General features: G+C 36.5%; 1 protein-coding gene across 2 annotated transcripts in view, besides 1 other annotated feature; it reads right to left on the bottom strand.

Moving 5' to 3' along the window:
* The window catches only part of GALNT13 (polypeptide N-acetylgalactosaminyltransferase 13), a 1,388,282-nt gene extending 1,365,798 nt beyond the window's left edge, over positions 1–22,484 (bottom strand). The window contains exons 1-2 of one of the 2 annotated variants that reach the window (NM_001422882.1): positions 22,416–22,484; positions 12,294–12,437 (exon numbers count right to left, since the gene is read on the bottom strand). The gene's annotated coding sequence lies outside the window, so the exon portion shown is untranslated. The remainder of the gene's footprint in view (positions 1–12,293; positions 12,438–22,415) is intronic. The other variant, NM_001422883.1, reaches the window with a different exon arrangement.
* Positions 20,932–22,131: an enhancer, noted in NCBI's record as "P300/CBP strongly-dependent group 1 enhancer chr2:153925160-153926359 (GRCh37/hg19 assembly coordinates)". NCBI's record gives its function as "activates an origin of replication core promoter dependent on BRD2, BRD4, P300/CBP, MED14 and CDK7 cofactors, with strong dependence on P300/CBP, by STARR-seq in HCT116 cells {active_cell/tissue: HCT116}" and the evidence as "EXISTENCE:reporter gene assay evidence [ECO:0000049][PMID:35650434]".
* Positions 22,485–23,317: the final 833 nt, after the last annotated feature.

Here is a 23,317-nt window from a genome sequence, read left to right as displayed (position 1 = left end):
GAAGAGCTTGAGTCCAGACTTGCCTAACCCTGCCCCCACTTGATGGTATTTCTCTACCTGCCCTGGGAGCCAAACACAAAATACAGAAACTCTTTGGAGCTTTATGGCCCTTCCCATATGCTGTCCAACTTAGAGCAAGCTTAGAGCCCCCTACTACTAAAGCAGTTCGTACTCTCTTGAAAGCACCACCTCCTGGCTGGAGGCCAACCAATGTAGCCCATTACAGCAACTCATGACAGAATAACTCCAGTTCCAGGAAGGAGAAGACAACACCTAATTCCACTGCCTGCAACATCCTGGCTAACCAGAGGTCCCGAGTGTGTACACATGACAACTTCACTGCTAGTATAACCAGCATTTGAGAAAGCTAGCAAGCTAAACATATCTAAAACCAAGGACTCTCACAGAATCTTCTTCCTTCCCCTGCCACCTCCACCAGAGCAGATGCTGGTAGCCACAGTGGGGAGACTTGAAGACAAATCACAGGAGTCTTTGTAGACATTCCCTACCACCAGCCTGGAGCCATCTTGCCCTGCTGGGTGGTTAGACCCAAGAGAGCAATAACAATCCCTGCAGTCTAGCTCTCAAGAAGCCCCATCCTAAGGGATAGGGGAGAGCACCACGCCAAAGGATCAACCCATGGGAGCAGAGAAATCAACAGCAGGCCTTGAGTTCCAGACTGAAAAGTGTTTCCAGACTGGAAACACTGACATAATATATCCAACTTAGAAGAACCAGAAAAGTAATTCTGGTAATATGAAAAAAGAGGGTCCTATAACACCCCCAAAAGATCATACCAGCTCCCCAGAAATGGATCCAAACCAAGATGAAGTCTCTGAATTGCCAGATAAAGAATTCAGAAGGTTGGTTATTAAGATACTCAAGGAGACAGCAGGGAAAGGTAAAAACCGACTTTAAAAAATTCAAAAAGCAATATGGGATATGGATTAAAAATTCTCCAGAGAAATAGGTATCACAAAGAAAAAAACAATCACAACTTCTAGAAATGAAAAACACACTCAGAGAAGTACAAAATATACTGGAAAGAGCTTCAGAGCTTGAAGACAAGCCTTTTGAATTAACCAATAAGACAGAGACAAAGAAAAAAGAATTAAAAAAAGCCTCCAATAAATTTGAGATTATGTTAAATACCAAACCAAAGAATAATTGGTGTTCCTGAGGAAAAAGAGAAGTATGAAAGTGAGGAAAATTTATTTGAGGGAATGATTGAGGAAAACTTCCCTGGCCTTGATAGAGATCTAGACATCCAAACACAAGAAGCTCAAAGAACACATGGGAAATTCATCACAAAAAGATCTTCACCTACATACATAGTCATCAGGTTATCTAAAGTCAAGACAAAGGAAAGAATCTGAAGAGCTATGAGGCAAAAGCATCAGATTACCTAGAAAGGAAAACATATCAGATTAACAGCAGATTTCTCAGCAGAAACATTACAAGCCAGAAGGGACTGGGGTCCCATCTTTAGCCTCTTGAAACAAAATAATGGTCAGCCAAGAATTTTGTACTCAGAAAAACTAAGCCTCATAAGTGAAGGAGAGGTAAGGTCTTTTTCAGAAAAACAAATGCTGAGAGAATTCACCACTACCAAGCCAGCACCACAAGAAATGTTCAAAGGAGTTGTAAATACTGAACAAAACCTTGAAATACACCAAAATAGATCTTAATTAAATGATGCATTTCACATGACCTATAAAACAATAACACAATGGGAAAAAACCCAAGGTATTAAGGCAACAACCAGCATAACAAATAGAATAGTACCTCACATCTCTATACTAACTTTAAATGTAAATGGCCTAAATGCTCCACTTTAAAGATACACACCGGCAGAATGGATAAAAATCCACCTACAAGGTATCTGAGATCTTCAAGGGACTTAGCTAATGCATAAAGGTTCACATAAACATAAGGTAAAGGGGTGGTAAAAGATATTCCACACAAATGGAAACCAAATGCAAGCAGGAGTAGCTATTCTTGTATCAAACAAAACAGATTTTAAAGCAACAACAGTAAAAAATAGACAAGGAGGGACATAATAACAATAATAATAATAAAAGGATTAGTTCAACAGCAAAAAATCACAATTCCAAATATATATGCATCTAACACTGGAGCTCCCAAATTTACAAAACAATTACTACTAGACCTAATAAATGAGATAGGTGACAACACGATAATAGTGGGGAGCTTTAATACTCCATTGACAGCACTAGCCAGGTCATCAAGACAGAAAGTCAAAGAAGAAACAATGGACTCGAACTATACCCTAGAACAAATAGACTTAGACATCTACAGAACATTTTACCCAACAACTGCAGAATACACATTCTTTTGATCTGCACATGGAACATTCTCCAAGATAGGCCATATAATATGTCACCAAAAAAGCCTCAATAAACTTAAGAAAATCTAAATTATATCAAGTACTCTCTCTGAACACAGTGGAATTAAACTGGAAATTAATTCCAAAAGGAACCCTAAAACTATACATATACATAAAAATTAAATAATCTGCTCTTGAATGATCTTTGGGTCAACATTGAAATGAGGATGAATATGAAACAATTCTTTGGACTGAACAATAATAGTAACACAACTTATCAAAACCTCTGGGATACAGCAAAAACAGTGCTAAGAAAGTTCATAGGATTAAATGCCTACACAAAAAGTCTGAAAGAGCACAAGTAAACAGTCTAAGGTTACACCTCAAAAAACTAGAGAAACAAGAACAAACCAAACCCAAACCCAGCAGAAAAAAAAAGAAATAACAAATATCAAAGCAGAACTACATGAAATTCATACAAAAAAATACAAAACATAAATGAAACAAAAACCAGATTCTCTTAACAGATCCATAACATTGATAGACCATTAGTGAGATTACCAAGAAAAGAAGAGAGAATATCGAAATAAGTTCAATTAGACATGAAACAAGAAACATTACAACTGATACCACAGAAATACAAAAGATCATTCAAGGATACTGTGAACACCTACACATGCAAACTAGAAAATCTAGAGGAGATGGATAACTTCCTGGGAATATACAATTCTCCTAGGTTAAATCAGGAAGGAATAAAAACACTGAACAGATAGAGGATGAATTGAAATGGCAATAAAAAAAATAGCCAATAGAAAAAGTCCAGGACCAGATGCATTCACAGCTGAATTCTATCAGACATTCAGAAAAGAATTGATACCAATCTTACTGAAACTATTCTAAAAGACAGACAGAGAACAAATTGTCCCTAAATCATACTATGAAGCCATTATCACCCTAATAGCAAAACCAGGGAAGAATATAACACAAAAAGAAAACTACGGACCATTATCTGATGAACATAGATGCAAAGATCATCAACAAAACACTAGACAACAGACGCCAACAGTATATCAAAAAGATAATCCACCATGATCAAGTGGGTTTCATACGAGGGATGCAGGGGTGGTTTAACATATGCAAATAAATAAATATGATAGATCACATAATCAGAATTGAAAACAAAAATCATATGATCATCTCAATAGAAGCAGAAAAAGCATTTAACAAAATCCAGCACGACTTTATGATTAAAACCTCAGCAATATTGGCATAGAAAAAACATACCTCAAGGTAATAAAAGCCATCTATGACAAACCCACAGCCAACATTATACTGAATAGGGAGAAGTTGAAAGAACTCCCCTGAGAACTGGAACAAGACATGGATGCCCGCTTTCATCAAGTCTATTCAACATAGTACAGAAGTTCTAGCCAGAGCAATCAGACAAGAGAAAGAAATAAAGGGCATCCAAATAGGTAAACAGGAAGTCAAATTGTCACTGTTCGCTGATGGTATGATCATATATCTAGAAAACCCAGAAGACTCATCCAAAAAACTCCTAAATCTGATGAATTAATTCTATAAACTTTCAGGATACAAAATCAATGCACACAAGTCAGCAGCACTGCTATACACCAACAGTGATGGAGCTAAGAATCAAATCAAGAACCCAACAACAGCTGCAAAATAAAATAAAATAAAATAAAATAAAATAAATAAAATAAAATAAAATACTTAGGAATAGTATTAGTCTGTTCTCATACTGCTAGTAAAGACATATACAAGACTGGGTAATTTATAAAGGAAAGAGGTTTAATTGACTCACAATTCAGCAGGCTGGGGAGGCCTCACAATCATGGCTGAGGCAAATGAGAAGGAAATTCACATCTTACATGGCAGCAGGCAAGAGACTGTGTGCAGGGAAACCGTCAGATTTCATGAGACTTATTCACCACCATGAGAACAGTATGGGAAAAACAGCCCCCCGATTCAATTATGTACACCTGGCCCCACCCTTGGCACATGGGAATTATTACAATTCAACGTGAGATTTGGGTGGGGACATAGCCAAACCATATCATTTCATCCCTGGCCCCTCCCAAATCTCATGTCTTCACATTTCAAAACCAATCATGCCTTCCCAACAGTTCCTCAAGGTCTTAACTCATTTCAGCATTAACTCAAAAGTCCACAGTAGAAAGTCTCATCTGAGACAACAAGGTAAGTACCTTTTACCTTATGAGCCTGTAAAATCAACAGCAAGTTAGTTACTTCCCAGATACAATAGAGTACAGGCTTTGGATAAATACACCTCTTCCAAATAGGAGAAATTGGACAAAACGAAGGGGCTACAGACCCCATGAAAGTCCAAAATCCAATAGGGGAGTCATTAAATATTAAAGTTTCTAAATGATCTCCTTTGACTCCATGTCTCACATTTAGGGCATGCTGATGCAAGAGGCGGCTCCCATGGCTTTGGCAGCTCTGCCCCTGTGGCTTTGCAGGGCACAGCCTCCCTCCTGTCTGCTTTCACAGGCTGGCATTGAGTATCTGTGGCTTTCCTAGGTACATAGTGCAAGCTGTCAGTGAATCTACCATTCTGGGGTCTGGAGAATAGTGGCCCTCTTCTCACAGCTCCATTAGGCAATACCCCAGTAGGCACTCAATGTGGGGGCTCCAACCCCACATTTCTCTTCTGTACTGCCCCAGCAGAGGTTCTCCATGAGGGCTCCACCCCTGCAGCAAATCTATGCCTGGATATCCAGGCATCTTAATACATTCTCTGAAATCCAGGCAGAGGTTCCCAAACCTAAATTCTTGACTTCTGTGTATCCACAGGCTCAACACCATGTGGAAGCTGCCAAGACTTGGAGTTTGTACCTTCTGAAGCCATAGCCTGAGCTACACTTTGGTGCTTTTTTTGCCACAGGTGGAGCAGCTGGGATGCAGGACACCAAGTCCTAGGGCTGCACACAGCAGCCCTGGGGGCTGGCCCACAAAACCTTTTTCCTCCTAGGCCTCCAGGCGTGTGATGGAAGGAACTGCCATAAAGGTCTCTGACATGCCCTGGAGACATTTTCCCCATTGTCTTGGGGATTAACATCCAGCTCCTTGTTACTTATGCAAATTTCTGCAGCAGGCTTGAATTTCTCCTCAGAAAATGGGTATTTCTTTTCTCGCTCATTGTCAGGCTGCAAATTTTCCAAACTTTTACGCTCTGCTTAATCTTAAGTGCTTAGCCACTTAGAACGTTCTTCCTCCAGATACCCTAAATCATCTCTCTCAAGTTCAAAGTTCCACAGAACTCTAGGGCAGGGAAAAAATGTGCCAGTCTCTTTGCATAGAAAGAGTGACCTTTACTCCACTTCCCACAAGTTCCTCATCTCCGTCTGAGACCACCTCAGCCTGGACTTAATTGTCCATGTCACTATCATCATTTTGGTCAAAGCCATTCAAGTCTCTAGGAAGTTCCAAACATTCTCACATTTTCCTGTCTTCTTCTGAGCCCTCCACATTGTTCCAACTTCTACCTAGTTCCAAAGTTACTTCCCCATTTCTGGGTATCTTTACAGCAGCACCCCACTACCTGTTACCAATTTACTGTACTAGTGTGTTCTCATGCTGCTAATGAAGACATACCTGAGACTGGGTAATTTATAAAGAAAAGAGATTTAATAGACTCACAGCTCAGCATGGCTGGGGAGGCCTCACAATCATGGCTGAAGGCAAATGAGGAGCAAAGTCACGTCTTACAAGGTGGTAGACAAGACAGCTTGTGCAGGGGAACTCCCATTTATAAAGCCATCAGATCTCATGAGACTTATTCACTATCACAAGAAGAATATGGGGGAAACAGCCCCCATAATTTAATTATCTCCACCTGGCCCTGCCCTTGACATGTGGAAATTACTACAATTTAAGGTGAGATTTAGGTGGAGACACAGCCAACCATATCAGGACTATACCTAACCAAAGAGGTGAAAGATTTCTACAAGGAAAACTATAAAACACTGCTGAAAGAAATCATAGATGACATAAACAAATGGAAACACATTCCATACTCATGGATGAGTAGAATCAATATTGTGAAAATGACCAAACTGCCAAAAGCAATCTACAGCTTCAATGCCATTCCCATCAAAAATACCATCATCATTCTTCACAGAACTAGAAAAAACTATCCTAAAATTCATATTGAACCAAAAAAGAACCCACATAGCCAAAACAAGACCAAGCAAAGGAACAAGTCCGGAGGTATCACATTATCCAACTTCAAATTATACTATAACACTATAGTTACCAAAACAGCATAGTACTTGTATAAGAACAGGCTTGTAGACCAATGGAACAGAATAGAGAACCCAGAAATAAAGCCAAATTCTTACAGACAACTGATCTTCAACAAAGCAAACAAAAACATAAAGTGGAGAAACAACACCCTATACAACAAATGGTGCTGGGATAATTGGCAAGCCACATGTAGAAGAATGAAACTGGATCCTCATCTCTCACCTTATGCAAAAACCAACTCAAGATGGATCAAATACTTAAATCTAAGACCTGAAAACATAAAAATTCTAGAGGATAACATTGGAAAAACTCTTCAAGACATTGGCTTAGGCAAAGATTTCATGAGCAAGAACTCAAAGCAAATGCAACAAAAACAAAGGTAAATAGATGGGACTTCATTAAATGAAAAAGCTTCTGCACAGCAATAGAAATAATCAGCACAGTAACAGACAACCCACAAAGTGGGAGAAAATATTCACTAACCATACATCTGACAAAGGACTAATATCCAGAATCTACAGGAAACTCAAACAAAGCAGCATGAAAAAAAAATAATACCATCAAAAGTGGGCAAGGGACATGAACAGATAATTCTCAAAAGAAGCTATACAAATGGCCAACAAACATATTAAAAAATGCTCAAATTCATTAATGATCAGGGAAATGCAAATCAAAACCACAATGCGATACCACCTTACTCCTGCAAGAATAGCCATAATTTAAAAATCAAAAAATAATAGATGTTGGGGTAGATGTGGGGAAAAGGGAGCACTTTTACATTACTGGCAGAAATGTAAACTAGTGCAACCACTGTGGAAAACAATTTTAATTCCTTAAAGAACTTAAGAGATTCCTTAAAGAAATTCCTTAAAGAACTAAAAGTAAAACTACCTTTTCATTCAGCAATCCTACTACAGGTAACTACCCATAAGAAAAGAAGTTATTATGTGAAAGAGACACTTGAGCACCCATGTTTATAGCAGCACAATTTGCAATTGCAAATATATGAAACTCACTGGGCATGATGGCTCACACCTATAATCCCAGCACTTTGGGAGGTCAAGGTGGGCAGATCAAGTGGTCAGGAGTTTGAGACCAGCCTGGCCAGCATGGTGAAACCCTGTCTCTACTAAAAATACAAAAATTAGCTAGGCATGGTGGTGTGCACCTGTAATCCCAGACACTTGGGAGGCTGAGGCAGGAGAATCGCTTGAACCTGCGAGGCGGAGGTTGCAGTGAGCCGAGACTGTGCCACTGCACTCCAGCCTGGGTGACAGGGTGATACTCTGTCTCAAAATAAATAAATAAATAAATAAAATATATTTTATTTATTCAATAAATAATATATATTTTATTTATTCAATAAATAATATATATTTTATTTATTCAATAAATAATATATATATAAACCAGCCTAAATTTTATATTTTTATATTTATTAAATAAACTTTATTTATTTAATAAATTATATATATGTGTGTGTGTGTGTGTGTGTGTGTGTGTGTGTGTGTGTGTGTGTGTATATATATATATATATATATATATATATATATATATATATATATAAACCAGCCTAAATGCCCATCAATCAACCAGTGCATGAAGCAAATATGGTATGTGTACACCGTGGAATACTACTCACCCACAAAAAGCAATGAAATAATGGCATTCACAGCAACCTGGATGGAGTTGGAGAATATTATTCGAAGTGATGTAACTCAGGAATGAAACACCAAATACATCCTCCCTTTCAAGTGGGGGCCAAGCTATGAAGATGCAAAGGCATAAGAGTGATATAATAGACTTTGGGGATTTGGAGGAAAGGATGAGAGGGAGGTGAGGGATAAAAGAGTACACACTGAGTACAGTGTACACTGCTCGGGTGAAAGGTGCACAAAAATCTCAGAAGTCACTACTAAAGAACTTATCCATGTAACCAAAAACCACCTGTTATCCAAAAACTCATTTCTCAAAAAGACAAATGGCAAGCAGGCACATGAAATGGTGCTCAACATCATTGGTCATCAGAGAAATGCAAACCAAAACTACAATGAGGCATTATCTTGCCCCAGTTAAAACTGCTTATATCCAACAGACAGGCAACAACAAATCCTGGCAAAAATGTGGAGAAAAGGGAAACTCTGTACACTGTTGGTGGGAATGTAAATTAGTAAGACCACTATGGAGAACAGTTTGGAGGTTCCTCAAGAAACTAAAAATTGAGCTACCATATCATCCAGCCAAATCCCATTGCTTGGTAAACACCCCACAAAAAGGAAATCAGAATATCAAAGAAATATCTGCACTCCCATGTTTGTTGCAGCACTGTTTACAATACTAAGATTTGGAAGCAACCTAAGTGTCTATCAACAGATGAATGGATTAAAAAAAATGTGGTACATGTACATAGCGGAGTACTATTCAGCCACAAAAAAAGAATGAGATCTAGTCATTTGCAACAACATGGATGGAACTAGAAATCACTAGGTTAAGTAAAATAAGCCAGGCACAGAAAGACAAACATTGGATGCTTTCACTCATTTATGGGATATAAAGCTCAGAACCTTTGAACTCGTGGACATAGAGAGTGGAAGGATGGTTACCAGAAGCTGGGAAGAGTAGTGGGAGGGTAAGGGGGATATGGGGATAGTCAATGCGTAGGAAAAAACAGAAAGTATGAATAAGGCCTAAAATTCGATAGCACAATAAGGTGACTAGAATCAATAATAGCTTAATTATACATTTTAAAATAACGTAAAGAGTGTAATTGTATTGTTTGTAACTCAAAGAATAAATGCTTGAGGGAATGGACATCCTGATCTCCATCATGTGCTTATTTCACATTGCATACCTGTATCAAAACATCTCATGCACACCATAAATATATACACCTACTATGTACCAAAAAAAATTAAAAATAAAAAAGTAAATAATAGAAAAGGAGATATGTATCAATAAATACCAAAGTAAAAATGTATATACCATATAGTGAAATATTTTATATACACATATGTGTGCAAAAAAACACAGAACTGAAACCAAACATCTCAGATCATCTAAAAGAGCAAAATACAGCATTATGCTATATATAAGAAGCACACATATTTATATACCTAAAATTTATATAATTTTAAAGGAGAGAGATTCAGGAAAATTTAAGGGTGGGCAGTGAATACAAGGAAAATGCAAATAAATAAAAGGCAATGATCACAATGTTTATATTTGAAAAGGAAGAATTCAAAACAAAAAGCATTAAAGGAGAAAAAGAATATTAAAAATGCTAAAGGTATAATTCACAATGAAAACATATTAATAATTAAAATTTCTGTTCCCAGTAACACAGCAAAACATTACATAAAGTGGAAACTGCAGAATATTCAAAGAGAATACATAAAACCATATTTAAAAGATTTTAGAAGAATTTAACACACCTCTCCTAATCCAAGAAAGATCAAGCGGACAAAAAATTGTAAGACTATAGAAAACCTAAATAACAAATCAACAAGGTCTTATATATAAAACCCTAAACTTCAATAGATAATATATCTTTTTTCAAGGGTAAACAAAACATTTATGAAAATTGCTATATCTTAGGTCACAAGAAATGGTAGATCAATACCAAAATTAGAACTAATACAGCACTCTGTGACCAAAATGTTAACACAAAAAGAGCCTTATCTCTGAAAATTAAAAGCATGGTATTAAACAACTCAAAGGAGAACTATGAAACCAAATCACAGTATTTCTTTATAATAAAATCAATGAATACACAACATCTGAACCTATGACAGGGCTAAAGCAATTACCAGAGGACCATTTATAGCATAAATACATTTATCAATAAAACTGAAAATAAACATCCAACCTAAACAGCTTAAATCAATTACCCACCCCAAAAAGAAAAAGGGGTAAGATAAAATCTGAAAATAATTTTTTAGAAAAAAATGAATATAAAAGCTATTTCTTTGAAAAAGATTAACAAACCAAACCAATGCTAACCTAATGCAAAAAAGGGTGGAGGGAAGTCAAAATAGACAAATTAGACAAAAACCACAGGAAATGACAATCAGAATAAACACAACTAAGAACAACTCTTTGCAAATAAATTTGAAAACTTAGTTTAAATGATATTTTACAGGAAAAAAATACAACTTGCCATATGTATTAACCATGTCTTTTATTTTCTATATTCTGATGCTTTGATATCTTAGGACTTGCTGACCTTGGAGGGACTGCCCCCGAGGGTTAGCCAATTCTTAGAGATAGTAAAAACACCTTGCCCATAGCGCAGCGCATCCTTTAAACACAAACCAACTATTCAGAGCCAATAACGCAACTACTTCCTTTTTTAGGTTCTCACACTCAGGGCCATTATCCACCTGCCTGATCACCTCAGTCTCAGGTACCAAATGACCAGGGACAACCTGTATGGCCTAGGGCCTGCTGAAATTATTGATAGTAGTATTAAAGAAAAATTAAAATGCAGGCCTCAGTTCAGATATACCCCAAGGCTAACTACCCATAATCATGTAGCTGAAACATAAGCCGTCCTGATTTCCCTGACACTAACTCTAATCATAAAACACAGAATGTGAACTTTTCCTTGTCAAACTGATTCAGTGAAATTAAACCAATCAGATACAGATAAGTCATCTTAAATAGCTCTGTTTACCTTAAAAAGAATGTTAATGTATAACAGCCAATCCAAAGAAAAAAAATCAAAATACTTCCTCCTTTATGCTTTATAAATTGTATTGTAACTGCTATGAGCAGAATTTCTTATCATTTGGTTTGGTATCCCCTGGATTGCAATCTGCACTTTCTCTTACCATCTGACAATAAACTTTAAAAATTTTTCTAACCTGTTTTTATTTTTGACATTGGCCAATGCTAGTGCTACAAGTCACAGTAAAAGCTCTGGCTATTATTATCCCCTCCTCCCTCTAGCTCCTGATAGACCCCAGTACTTTTCTGTTTGGCACCTCCATGCCCCTCCACTTGGGATCTATGAGTATGACAAACATACTCATAGTGGCACACACTCACAGTGGCAGTCGTCTCCTAATCTACTGACCTTGCCATATCTAAGTAACAACAAAACCTATATTTTAGAATTACACCTAAAAAGAAAATTGTAGACCAGTCTCACTGTGCCATCACTGCAAAACTATTAACCATATATGACCCAAAATTACAACAACACATAAAAATACATCATGACTAAGTAAGTTTATTCTAAGATTCCCAGGAGTCTAATACAATGCATTCTATTAAGAAATTATATAATCAACTCCAAAGACTCAGAAAAATCAAATTTTAACACCCATTCATTACGATAATACTCAATAAAATAAGAAGTGATGAACATTTTCTGAAAGTAATGAGAGCATCTTATTTAAAGGAGAAACACTAGAGATCTTCCTAATGAAATCAGAAACAAGTAAAAAAAATTCCTCCCTTCTTCATGATTTACTGAATACTTTGTTGGAGGTGTAAATCAAGAGGAAGCAAGCAGAGGCATAAGAATGAGGCCAGGCGTGATGGCTCATGCCCGTAATCCCAGCACTTTGGGAGGCCGAGGTGGGCGGATCATCTGAGGTCAGGAGTTCAGACGAGTCTGGCCAACATGGTGAAACTCCTTCTCTACTAAAAATACAAAAATTAGCCAAGTGTGGTGGCACTCACCTGTAATCCCAGCTACTTGGGAGGCTGAGGCAAGAGAATCACTTGAACCCAGAAGGCAGACGTTGCAGTGAGCTGAGATTCCGCCACTGTACATCAGCCTGGAGTGAGACTCCATCTTAGAAAAAAAAAAAAAAAAGAATGAAAAGGAAGAACTATCAATTCTTTATTTGCAGATGATATAATTACACAACTGTCAAAATCCCAAAGTTGATAGAAAATAATACAAAAATAAGAGAATTTAGAAAATAGCAAGTTATAAAATCACCATGCAAAAATACACAGCATTCATTTATACACTCACAAGTTAAAAAAAAATAATAACCAAAGAAAAAGATATCTCCATTTACAAAAGCAGAAGGCAAGGAAGAAAGTAGGGTAGAAGGAAAGTGAGAAACCAGACCAAGGCCTACATTTAGCAATAAATGTCCAAAACCTACAAAGAAAATTATAAAATATTGCTGAAAAATACAAAACCAGACTGGAACAAATAAGCATACATAACATTCTTGAATAGGAAGATCCAGCATCACAAAGGTGAAAGTTTTATTCTAATTTGATTTGTTAAAGCAAAATTAAAATGTAAACCAAACCTGATAAATTCCGAAGCAAACAAACCAATTAGACCTTAAAAATAGCCCGAAACTTGCTTAAAAAGAACACTAAACTTCTTTCAGTTTGTTGCTCCCCAATTCATGAATTGCTACCTATTCAAATAAACTTCCTTAAATTTTATTGTGACTCAGATTTTTCTTTTACAGATTTATAAAAGTAACACAATTCCAAACCTAAGCAAAACTTAACTTGGGTCATTTCTGATAAATGCTGTAAATGGTCATGCTTACATTAGACAGCAACAAAACTTAACCTCAGCTAGTCGTAAGCAGCAAACAACATATGGTTATGTGATTAAAGGCTTTCCAACAAGGTAAACAGAAAAAGGCAATTTTATGACTGGAACCAATCTGTTTATTTTGCTTCCTTATTCACCCTATGAACACTTGCCTCTGACACTTCGTTATCAGAGCACTAGATCTCTTTCAGTTTGTTGCTTCCCAATTCATGAATTGCTACTTAGTCACAAAAACTCCTTAAAATTTTATTGTGACTCAGATTTTTCTTTTACAGATATATAAATATAATAGAATTCCAATAAAAATACCATTTTTTTTTCTGCAGCTAGATAGTTGTTTCAAAGGGCAATGGAGCCAGGCATGGTGGCTCACACCTGTAATCCCAGCACTTTGAGAGGCTGAGGTAGGTGGATCACCTGAGGTCAGGAGTTAGAGACCAGCGTGGCCAACATGGCAAAACCCCTTCTCTACTAAAAATACAAAAATTAGCTAGGTGTGGTGGCGGGCACCTGTAATCCCAGCTACTCGGGAGGCTGAGGCAGGAGAATTGCTTGAACCCAGGAGGTGGAGGTTGCAGTGAGCCAAGATCATGCCACTGCACTACAGCCTGGGCAAAAGAGCAAGACTCTGTCTAAAAATAAATAAATATATAAAAATTTTAAAATAAATAAAAGGGCAATGGAAAAAAACAAAAAACGCAAGATTAGTCAGAATAGCCCTGAAAAAGAACTATGAAGGAGACCTAGCACAATTAGATAATAAAACATATTATAAAGCCTCAATAGAAGTGTGTTGATGTTTAAAAAGACACACAAGCCAGCAAAATAGAGCTGAAAATCTAGACATGGATTTAATAACTTATGGAAACTTAGAGTATAATGAGAAGTAGCCCAAAAAAATCAATGAGGAAAATGATGAACATTTAAATACAATCCATTGTGATCATTAGAGTTATAAGACAAAGTATAAAATTTGATCAATTCCTCAACTATACAATAGTATAAATCCCAGAGATTTAAAATCTTAAAAATTATATCATAAAAGTACTCAAGGAAGCATGGGTGAATAACTTATCAACTGAAGAGGGAAAAAATTCCCTATGACATAAATTAAGTAATGTAATTAAGAGACTGATAAATTCCACAGAAATATCCTCATGGCACAGAAACATTGAACAACCTAAGCCAGGTTAAAAGACAAATAATATACTGGGAAAATACATTTAAAACTTTTATATAATGCAGGTTCAGTATCCTAAATGTAGAGAAAGCTTCTAAGTGTAGCAAGAAAGGAAAAAAATGGAAAGACAGTTTACTCAAAAAGAAATTCGCATATACCGTTGGCAAGGCTATGGGCAAGCAGACACTCTCACTTATTGCTAGTAGCAATGCAAAGTATATAAATCCCCCTAGAGAGGAACCTGACACTATTAATCAAAAATACAACTTCACTTAGCCTTTCACCGAGCACCTTATTTTCAGAAATCTACCCCAAAGATACCTCGGCAAAAAACAAAAAGACTTTTTACAAAGCTATCAATGGCATTATTGTTAATAACAGCAAAAAAGTAGAAATGCCCATCAATAGCAGACTGATTTAATACACCATGAAATATTCACACAATGAAATACTACACAGATATAAAAAGGAATAAGAAATATATCTTTTCTATGTAGTGATTCCCAGTTTACATTTTATAGTTAAAAAAAAGCAAGGTAGAGAACATATGTAAATTATTCCATCATTTATCTAAGTAAAGGGCAATCCAAATATACAATATATATGCATATTTACTTAACAATGGAAGGATAGACTGCAAAATATTTTGGTGGTTACCTATAAAAGAGGGAGAAAATAAGCTGGAGGACACAAGGATAGAAGCTTGATTTTTCTGGACATATCTTGTTTTTGTACAGTTGATTTTGGAAATATGTAAATAATAAAACTAAATGAATATTATAATAAAAAACTCAATTCCTTAAAAATTGAAATAAATGAACCTAACTCTTGAATTGATAGTGTAACTATATAAAAAGGAATTATTTAGTTGCTCAATCCTAGGGAGATTTACTTTCAGGACAGAAAGAGCCACTAAAAATAAATCTGCTTCCAGTAATTATATAATTGGTCATAGTGTTGATATTATTCTAAGACAGTTATCTGAATTGTAAGAAAAATTAGTATGTGAGATACAAATGTAAATTAGATGAGGTAACAAATACTGTTTAGTCCTGTGTTTGAACTGGAACTTATCAGTACACACACAAGATGGATTTTATCTTTTTAAAAAACTTCTAACTCAACAGTCTGAATAAGCCTACACACAGTGACCAACCCAGTTGTAACTAACAATCCTATTACTGAGATACCGGTATTCTATTTTCCACTGAAAGAAACCAGGGACCTTTAGAAAGACAGCTGATTTCAGGTTTTAGCAAGAAAATGTTCAATATTAGTCTGGAAAATGTTGTCATACTAGAAGGCAATAAAGTTATCAAAACTACTAAAACGGTTCAGAAACCTACTTGATGTTCTCTTTGCCCAAAATATTTGAGCATTAATAATATTGTAGGCCAGGCACTGTGGCTCACATCTGTAATCCCAGCACTTTGGGAGGCCAAGGTGGAAAGATCACTTGATGCCAGGAGTTCCAGACCAGGCTGGGCAACAAAATTAGACCTGGTCTTTATAAAAAGTTTAAAAATTACCTGGGTACAGTGGCATGTATGTAATCTCAGCTACTCAGCCAGTTGAGGTGATAGGATCGCTGGAGCCTAGGAGTTTGGGGCTGCAGTGAGTTATGTTCGTGTCACTGCACTCTGGGTGACAGAGAAAGATCATATCTCCAAAAATAATAATCAATAATCACTATTATAACAAATTGAAACACATCAAATATAGTCATGTGTGACATAATGACATTTACGTCAATGATGGACACCATGCAAAATGATGGTCCCATAATATTATAACGAAGCTGAAAAATTCCTATCACCTAATGATGCTGTAGCCATGGTAACATTGTAGTGCAATTGCCTATTGTATTCAGTAAAGTACCATGCTGTACAGAGTTGTAGCCTAGAAGTATAGCAGGTTACACCTTCTAGGTTCGCATAAGTATACTCTGATGTTCACACAATGAAATTGCCCAGTGATTCATTTCTCAGGACATATCCCCATTGTTAAGTAACACTTTACTGGATTCAGGAGTTCATAATGATTCTTAAAAAAATGAATCTTGTTAGTCACCTTTGAAAAATGTTAGAGAAGTGATTCATTATTTTGAAAAATAGTTAACTCAAATGGTCAAAAAAATGAACTAAGTATTTATCTCAGAGTACATAAATGTATCTCAAAGTAGCACAATAGCTAATGCAGTGCTATTTCTCTTTACAGAAGTATCCTAGCAAATAAATAAGGAATGATAAATTAGAATACCACCATTTTGCAATTCTTAATAAGTTAATGGATTTAGCCAGTTATTGTCAGTGGCTGCTAACATCACAAAAGAAACAAACAGAAATTCCTAGAAGTACCTAATACCACAAACATTCCTGATAAAATATTTGAACTTGAATCTGATCAAGCCTCTACATATGACCATCAGTTTGCAAGAATATAGGGAGTAAGGAAATATGGTAAATGACACTATGAGATGAAATCAGTAAAGTCCACACTATGAGAATCTATCAAAGTAATACAACTCAGCTTCTCTTAAAAAACAAATTATAAAGGGAGGGGGGAAGATGAAGAAGCAACATGTAGATTAAAGATTTAAGCAACATGTCAGACAATTACACTGCACAGATCTTATTCAGATCCTGATTCAAAATAACCTTAAAATAAATGTGCACAACTGGAAAAATGTAATCATTAACTGAATACTTGATGATATTAAGGAATTATTGTTAACTTTTTGGACAATAAAATGGTCACTTTGTTTTAAAAAGAATGCTTATCTTTTACAAATATATAGGGAAACCTTCACAGATAAACTGATAGAATATCTGGAATTTTCTTCAAATTAAGCTGAAGTGGGTGGGATATAGATGAAACATGAGTTGACAATTATTGAATCTTGGTGGGAGAGTATGAAAAATCAGTTTATTATTCTTTCATTTTGCATTTTAACAAGTTAAAGAAGAAAAAAAAATCTACACTGTTCACCGATTTTTTATTTTCAAGTTTTTCTTTCTTTCCTCTGTTACACCATTAACTCCCAGCTGGTTTGCGTAACATGTTAGAATTAATTTTATTCCTTTTATTATTAATTTATAGTACTAGAAATAAAAATAAATAGATATTTATTTTTATTCAGAATAATCTGCTAGATGCAATGAAAACCACACAGGAGGAGCCACAACCCACTCCTTGAGAACCTGAAAATTTACTGACATAAATAAATATAGGTAAATATCTTAGGAAACTTATCCATGACCTTATTAAATAACAGTTCTCATTTTTTTGAACAGCATATTGTATTTCAAAGCGCGTAACCTACTTATGATCTGCTTCTTTAGGGCTGCTATGAAATTAAATGAGAGCATGTGTCAAAAGCACTTAGCATCGTGCCTCGAATATAAGTGCTAGACAATGGTAGCTGTGAAACCGCCAGTCCTTAATCCAGGAATCTTGTTCCTGAAACATGCTACCGCATAAAAATAAAAATTCAGGAAATGGAACGATGCTCAATAGAAGATAGTGCAAACCGTTGTGTAATTTAAACAACAAAGAATAAAAAAGGAAAACAGCAAAGAGTCCCTGGAAGAAGTAAATTCTGCAATGGAGTTTTATGCAAAGGATGAATAGTTATTACAGAAGAAGGACATCACTAATTGGGAATATTACAAGAGTCAAAGTGCAGAGACAGCCCTAGCAATGTATATTTAATGTCATTTTATGCTGAAGCAAAGGAGAATAATGAGAGGTTAAATTGGAGAGGTAGGCTGGGGCAAAAAGGAAGGGACAACATCCCTTCCAGCGATATACTTGCTGATTCAAATTAAAAGTGAAAAGGACTAAATATCATGTAAGAGATGAGAACGCAGAAAGGCATAAGGATTTATAGCTGAATATTTTAGGGAGAAGTACCGCTTCCCTATAACTCAGTTTTTCTCCAAAGAGAATCAAGCACTGAAAGCATTTGATCCGTGGCTTCTGTTTACCGATTTACTTATTTCTTCCTTTTGGAGGAAGAATGATCTGTGTAGTTGGTAAACTTAGAAATTAACTGAGAATGGTCAGGGCTCTTAGGCCCTCCTTTTTCTTGGGAGAGGCTGTCTGCAGAGGCACACCACGCTGTGCTCCTCACATGGTGAATCCTGCTCCGGTCCCACACTGCTTAGCGGTAGGTAAGAGTTATTTTGGCCCTTACACAAAGCCACGCCCTTAAACAGCCTTTAGCAGTGATAAAAATGAGGTTTGGCCTTCATCAATCACCCATTATCTTATTTATTATTTTGTTTTGGACTTAGATTGAGCAGCAGATGCTAGTTATTAGAAGAACTGAAATATTTTATTAACAATATAAACAGGAACACACTAAAGGTTCTTCAGTAAAGGAGGTAAAAATGCTTTAAATTATTCCAGCTGTTTTGTGGTGAAGGAAACAGAGACGAGCTAGTTACAGGAAACAAGGTGCAATGAATTGAACCTACTAGCTTCTGTCTTCTAAGGCAAGTGTTGGCAAACCTGTAAAGAACCAGATAGAACTATTTTAGGCTTTCTGGGCCACATATGGTCTTTGTTACATTTTTTAAAACCCATAAAAAATATAAAAACCATTCTTAGCTAGTGAGCTGTACAAAAGAAGGTGATAGGCTATAGAAAAACAAGCTGTAGGTTAGATTTGGCTCAAGAGCCACAGTTTATCCAACCTCTGTCAAGAAATAATTTCTTCAGAAAGGGGATTATGTTCTTGTGAAAATTACAAAACAAATGCCAATAAACAAACATTAGCCAATTTCTGTCGGTCAGTAAAACTTCTTAGTTAAAACCACTCTGGAGCTCTGGCCCCTGTTTAATAATAGAGTTAGTCTCTGAGATATTGCTTATAAAACCCCTTTACATAATGTCCATACATATAACCACATTGGTTATTGCTCAACATAACCAGTAATTTTGGAGGTTTGTGTGTGCAATGCTTGCCAGGAAAGCTTCACTCTTCTCCTTGTTGGCTGATTATCCTGTGCTCTGCTGCATGGCAGTTTTAGTGTACTTGCTGATTCAAATTAAAAGTGAAAAGGACTAAATATCATGTAAGAGATGAGAACACAGAAAGGCATAAACTTTATATTATTATTTGCTTCTGCCAACAATGTCTTTAGTGCAGAGAAGGCTACCTGTTTTATATCAAGCTGGATATAAAATATTTAATTCCTTGTGTTTTTACTCACATAAATTTTAAAGTAGTCTCTCTTCTTGCACAACTATAGTTACTGCATTTGTAATAAGTTTTGGATACCAGAAAATGAAATAAATACATCCCAGGGAAGAAATTGTTTTTTCTTCAACTGTAGTTTTTCTAAAGGACTTGAGCCCTGCAAAATTGGATGTTTAACTGTGGTTATTTATGATTTATGAGTGTTAAAATGCCTATAGGCTAAATAAAAAAATAATAATTTCAGTGTTTTTATTCTTGTGTCAGTCTCATAAGTCATATTTGAAGAAATTGAATTTCACATTGCCTTTAAGATTCACCCTTGAGCTAAGACCAAGATTAGTGATATTTCAGATTAAAGAAAAGGAAATTGTTCAGAAAGTTCAGGGGAACTAACAAAGGCGATTCCAAACACAGAGGTTTTTTATAAACGTAATAAATATATACAGAGTCATATGTGTGCAGCTTGTCTCTCCAAAGAATACAAAGCCTGTTGCAGAGAAGAGCTCCTTAGTACTTCCGGTGTCTCCATATGTACTGCAGGGCACAAGGAACACTAGTTTTGTTTGATACATAATTAATAGACTTTACTTTTTGGAGCAATTTTGGACTTACAGAAAAATCGAGGAGAAAGTATACAGAATTCCTATATACCTTCTCTCCTCCTCCAAAAACAATTTCCCCTATTATTAGCATCTTGCATTTGTGTGGTACATTTGCCACAACTGATGAACCAAAGTTGATTTATTATTGACCAAAATCCATATTTTACATTAGGTTTCACCCTGTGTTGTAGAGTTCTATGGTTTTTGAAAAATGCATAATGTGTCCACCATTATAGTATCATATGGAATAGTTTCAGAGCCCTAAAAATGCCTGATGCTCTACTTAATTCATCCCACCCACTCTCCCCATGAGCACCTGGCAACCACCAATCAATCATTTTCCTATCTCTATAGCTCTGCCTTTTCCAAATGCCATATGGCTGGAATCTTATAGTACGTAGCCTTTTCAGATTGGCACATTTTACTTAGCAATATTTAAGGTTTCTCCATGTCTTTTCATGGCTTGATATATTATTTCTTCTTATCACCGGCTCTTTTGTAAGAGCAGAAAAACTCCCCAAACTCCTCAAGTAGTTGAAGTCTCACTAAACGGCACTTATTGAGGGATATTAAAAAATTCTGAGTGAGTAAGTGAGTTTACCAGTAAATACTTAGCTGACAAAATTGTTCACAGGCTCTTTATGCAAGAAGTTAGTATACAGCTTCCCTAGATAGAATTTTCAAATATAATGGCATTCACAAAATAATGAAAAATGGCAGAAACACAGTTAATGCACATCATCTCTCACCCCAGGTTATGATCAAGGGCCAAGCACCACCAGAGCAGAGAGACATAAAGGAGATAAATGTGCCTGCCAGTTTCAAAGTTATGTCCATTTGCAAATAGGTGAAATTCATTCAGGAAAAGAGAAAATAACCCATTTTCAATTACATCTGTGCTATTTGTAGGACATCACCTTCGTATAAAGGAGCTCCACCTTGTGCAGCTTACATCTCAGCAAATATTGCTAGAACAAGCATGGGACTATAGTCCCTGTTCAGCCATTTAATAGCTCTGTGATTCCACTGAGTCACTTTTTCTCTGTGGCATAGAGAAAATAATGCTGCTCTTCCTGATTCAAATAATTCTGAGGATCAAAGGCGATTGAGATGAATAGAGGAGATAAAGGTGATACATGGGGAAATACTTCCAAACTATTAAAAGGTTTGCTCTTGTGTTGTAATGCTGATGTTATTGGATGTACTCCAACCCTTTCATCATCCCTCTCCCACTGCAGCACTCTTCCCAGGTAAGATGGCGTGCGAGAGGACCTTACAAAAAAAGAATCTGCTTAAGTAGGGAGACAATAAGAGACCCTGTCAAGCAAAAAGTAAATAGGTATTATAGAAAGGACAACAGAAAAGTGACAAAACCTTTCTAGAAGGAAAAATGCAGCAGTAGCAATGTGTAAACCAGGGGAGAAGCTCTAGGCTTCCAAGATAAGAATGAATCTGAAAGGCAGCACACATCTCCTGGACGCTGAAGGTCAAAGAGGTAGCACCACCCAAATGTCTCCTACAGGGCATTCTTGCACAGCAATAAGAAGAAGGAGGCGTCTAAGTATTCCCTGCTGAATGCTTAAGTGTGGTTAAACCTGATTTCTTCCAAAGTGCACTGCCTTCACTGGCTGAACAGAGAGACAAGTATTGAAAGCACAACTCTCCATAAGTGGCATTGACTCAGATATCTAAGCTAGCCACACTAACTAAACCAAATCAATTTCTTTTCATTAGCTTATTCAATTGGGGAGGAGAAGGCAGGACATTACCTACAAAACAAAGGGACAACAAACTGTTCAGGCTCCCCTAAAGCACCACTGTTAGATCAAAAAGAAGCTTCATCTTTGGGGTCTATACCTATGCTACTTAAAAAGGGACAAGCAAATCAAGGGCTTAGCAAATCCAGGACAGCACTCAACAGGCACCAAGCACACCAAGGTGAAGTAATATGTAAACTTTGTTACATATCTACCATAAAAAATATATATAATTTTACTCTCATATTCATGTATAACCACACCAAATGCTGTAGGTAAATAATGACAGTCTAATAATGGCTTCTAAAGCAAAAGTAAGAGCTCTGGTCAAAATGGTATGAGTTCACACTTGGCTAAAACCATCTGTATTCCAAACATAGAAAAATGATGGATTATTAAAAACCCAAAAAGACATAGCCAGACACAAAACCTCAGTAAACATCTCTTCAGCAAAAACAGAACAAAACTGCAAAGCAATAATAATTGAAGCCTTGGCCTTACCGAGTTCTGGGTCTGAAAGCAGGCAGAAGTTCAGCCCTACCATTTAAGAGAGTGAAAAGCACTCCCTGTGAAAAGGGGAACTGTAGCCTGGCTGATTGTGTGAAGAGAGGAGTTGGAGATGCCACCTAAGCAGTCTTCAGAAAGGCAGCTAAATTAAAACTGCTACCAACTACCACCTGTGGCTCAAGTTTTCGGCAAGCTTTGAGACTAGAGAGGTAAGAGGTCACAGACAGAATCTAAAGAATAATAAATGAATGAAGCTACCCACTGGGTCACAGTGGGTCACAGAGTCTCTGAAATATCCTATAGTCATAGGACAGAAGCCCTGAAATGATCATGAAAATCTCATTCTAGGCCAGGTACCCAGGGAATAAGAAAACATGAGACAGGGTTGAGCAAAACGTCTACACAAAATTAAAATCAGACATGATATTAAAACATAGGAACAGGAAGTCACTATAAGATTAGTTTTATGAAATAGTCTGACAAAAGCTTTAAAATTAGTATAAAGACGCTCAAAAAATATGAAGAAACAACTTTCATTTAGAAAAGAGCAAGAGATTATATTATAATAGGGGAAAAAAGCAAGTAGAGGATGAAATTAAAAAGAACACAAGGCCAGGCACTGTGGCTCACGCCTGTAATCCCAGCACTTTGGGAGGCTGAGGTGGGTGGATCACCTGAAGTCAGGAGCTTTAGATTAGCCTGGCCAACATGGCGAAACCCCGACTCTACTATAAATACAAAAATAAGCCAGGCGTGGTGGTGGATGTCTGTAGTCCCAGCTACTTGGAAGGCTGAGGCCAGTGAATTGCTTAAACTTGGGAGGTGGAGGTTGCAGTGAGCCGAGATCACCCCACTGCACTCCAGCCTGGCGACAGAGTGAGACTATATCTCAAAAA

Source organism: Homo sapiens, chromosome 2 (assembly GCF_000001405.40).
Source record: "Homo sapiens chromosome 2, GRCh38.p14 Primary Assembly".
NCBI lineage: Eukaryota > Metazoa > Chordata > Mammalia > Primates > Hominidae > Homo > Homo sapiens.
Note: the sequence above shows the minus strand (reverse complement) of the source record. Positions and strands in the feature narration are given on the sequence as shown.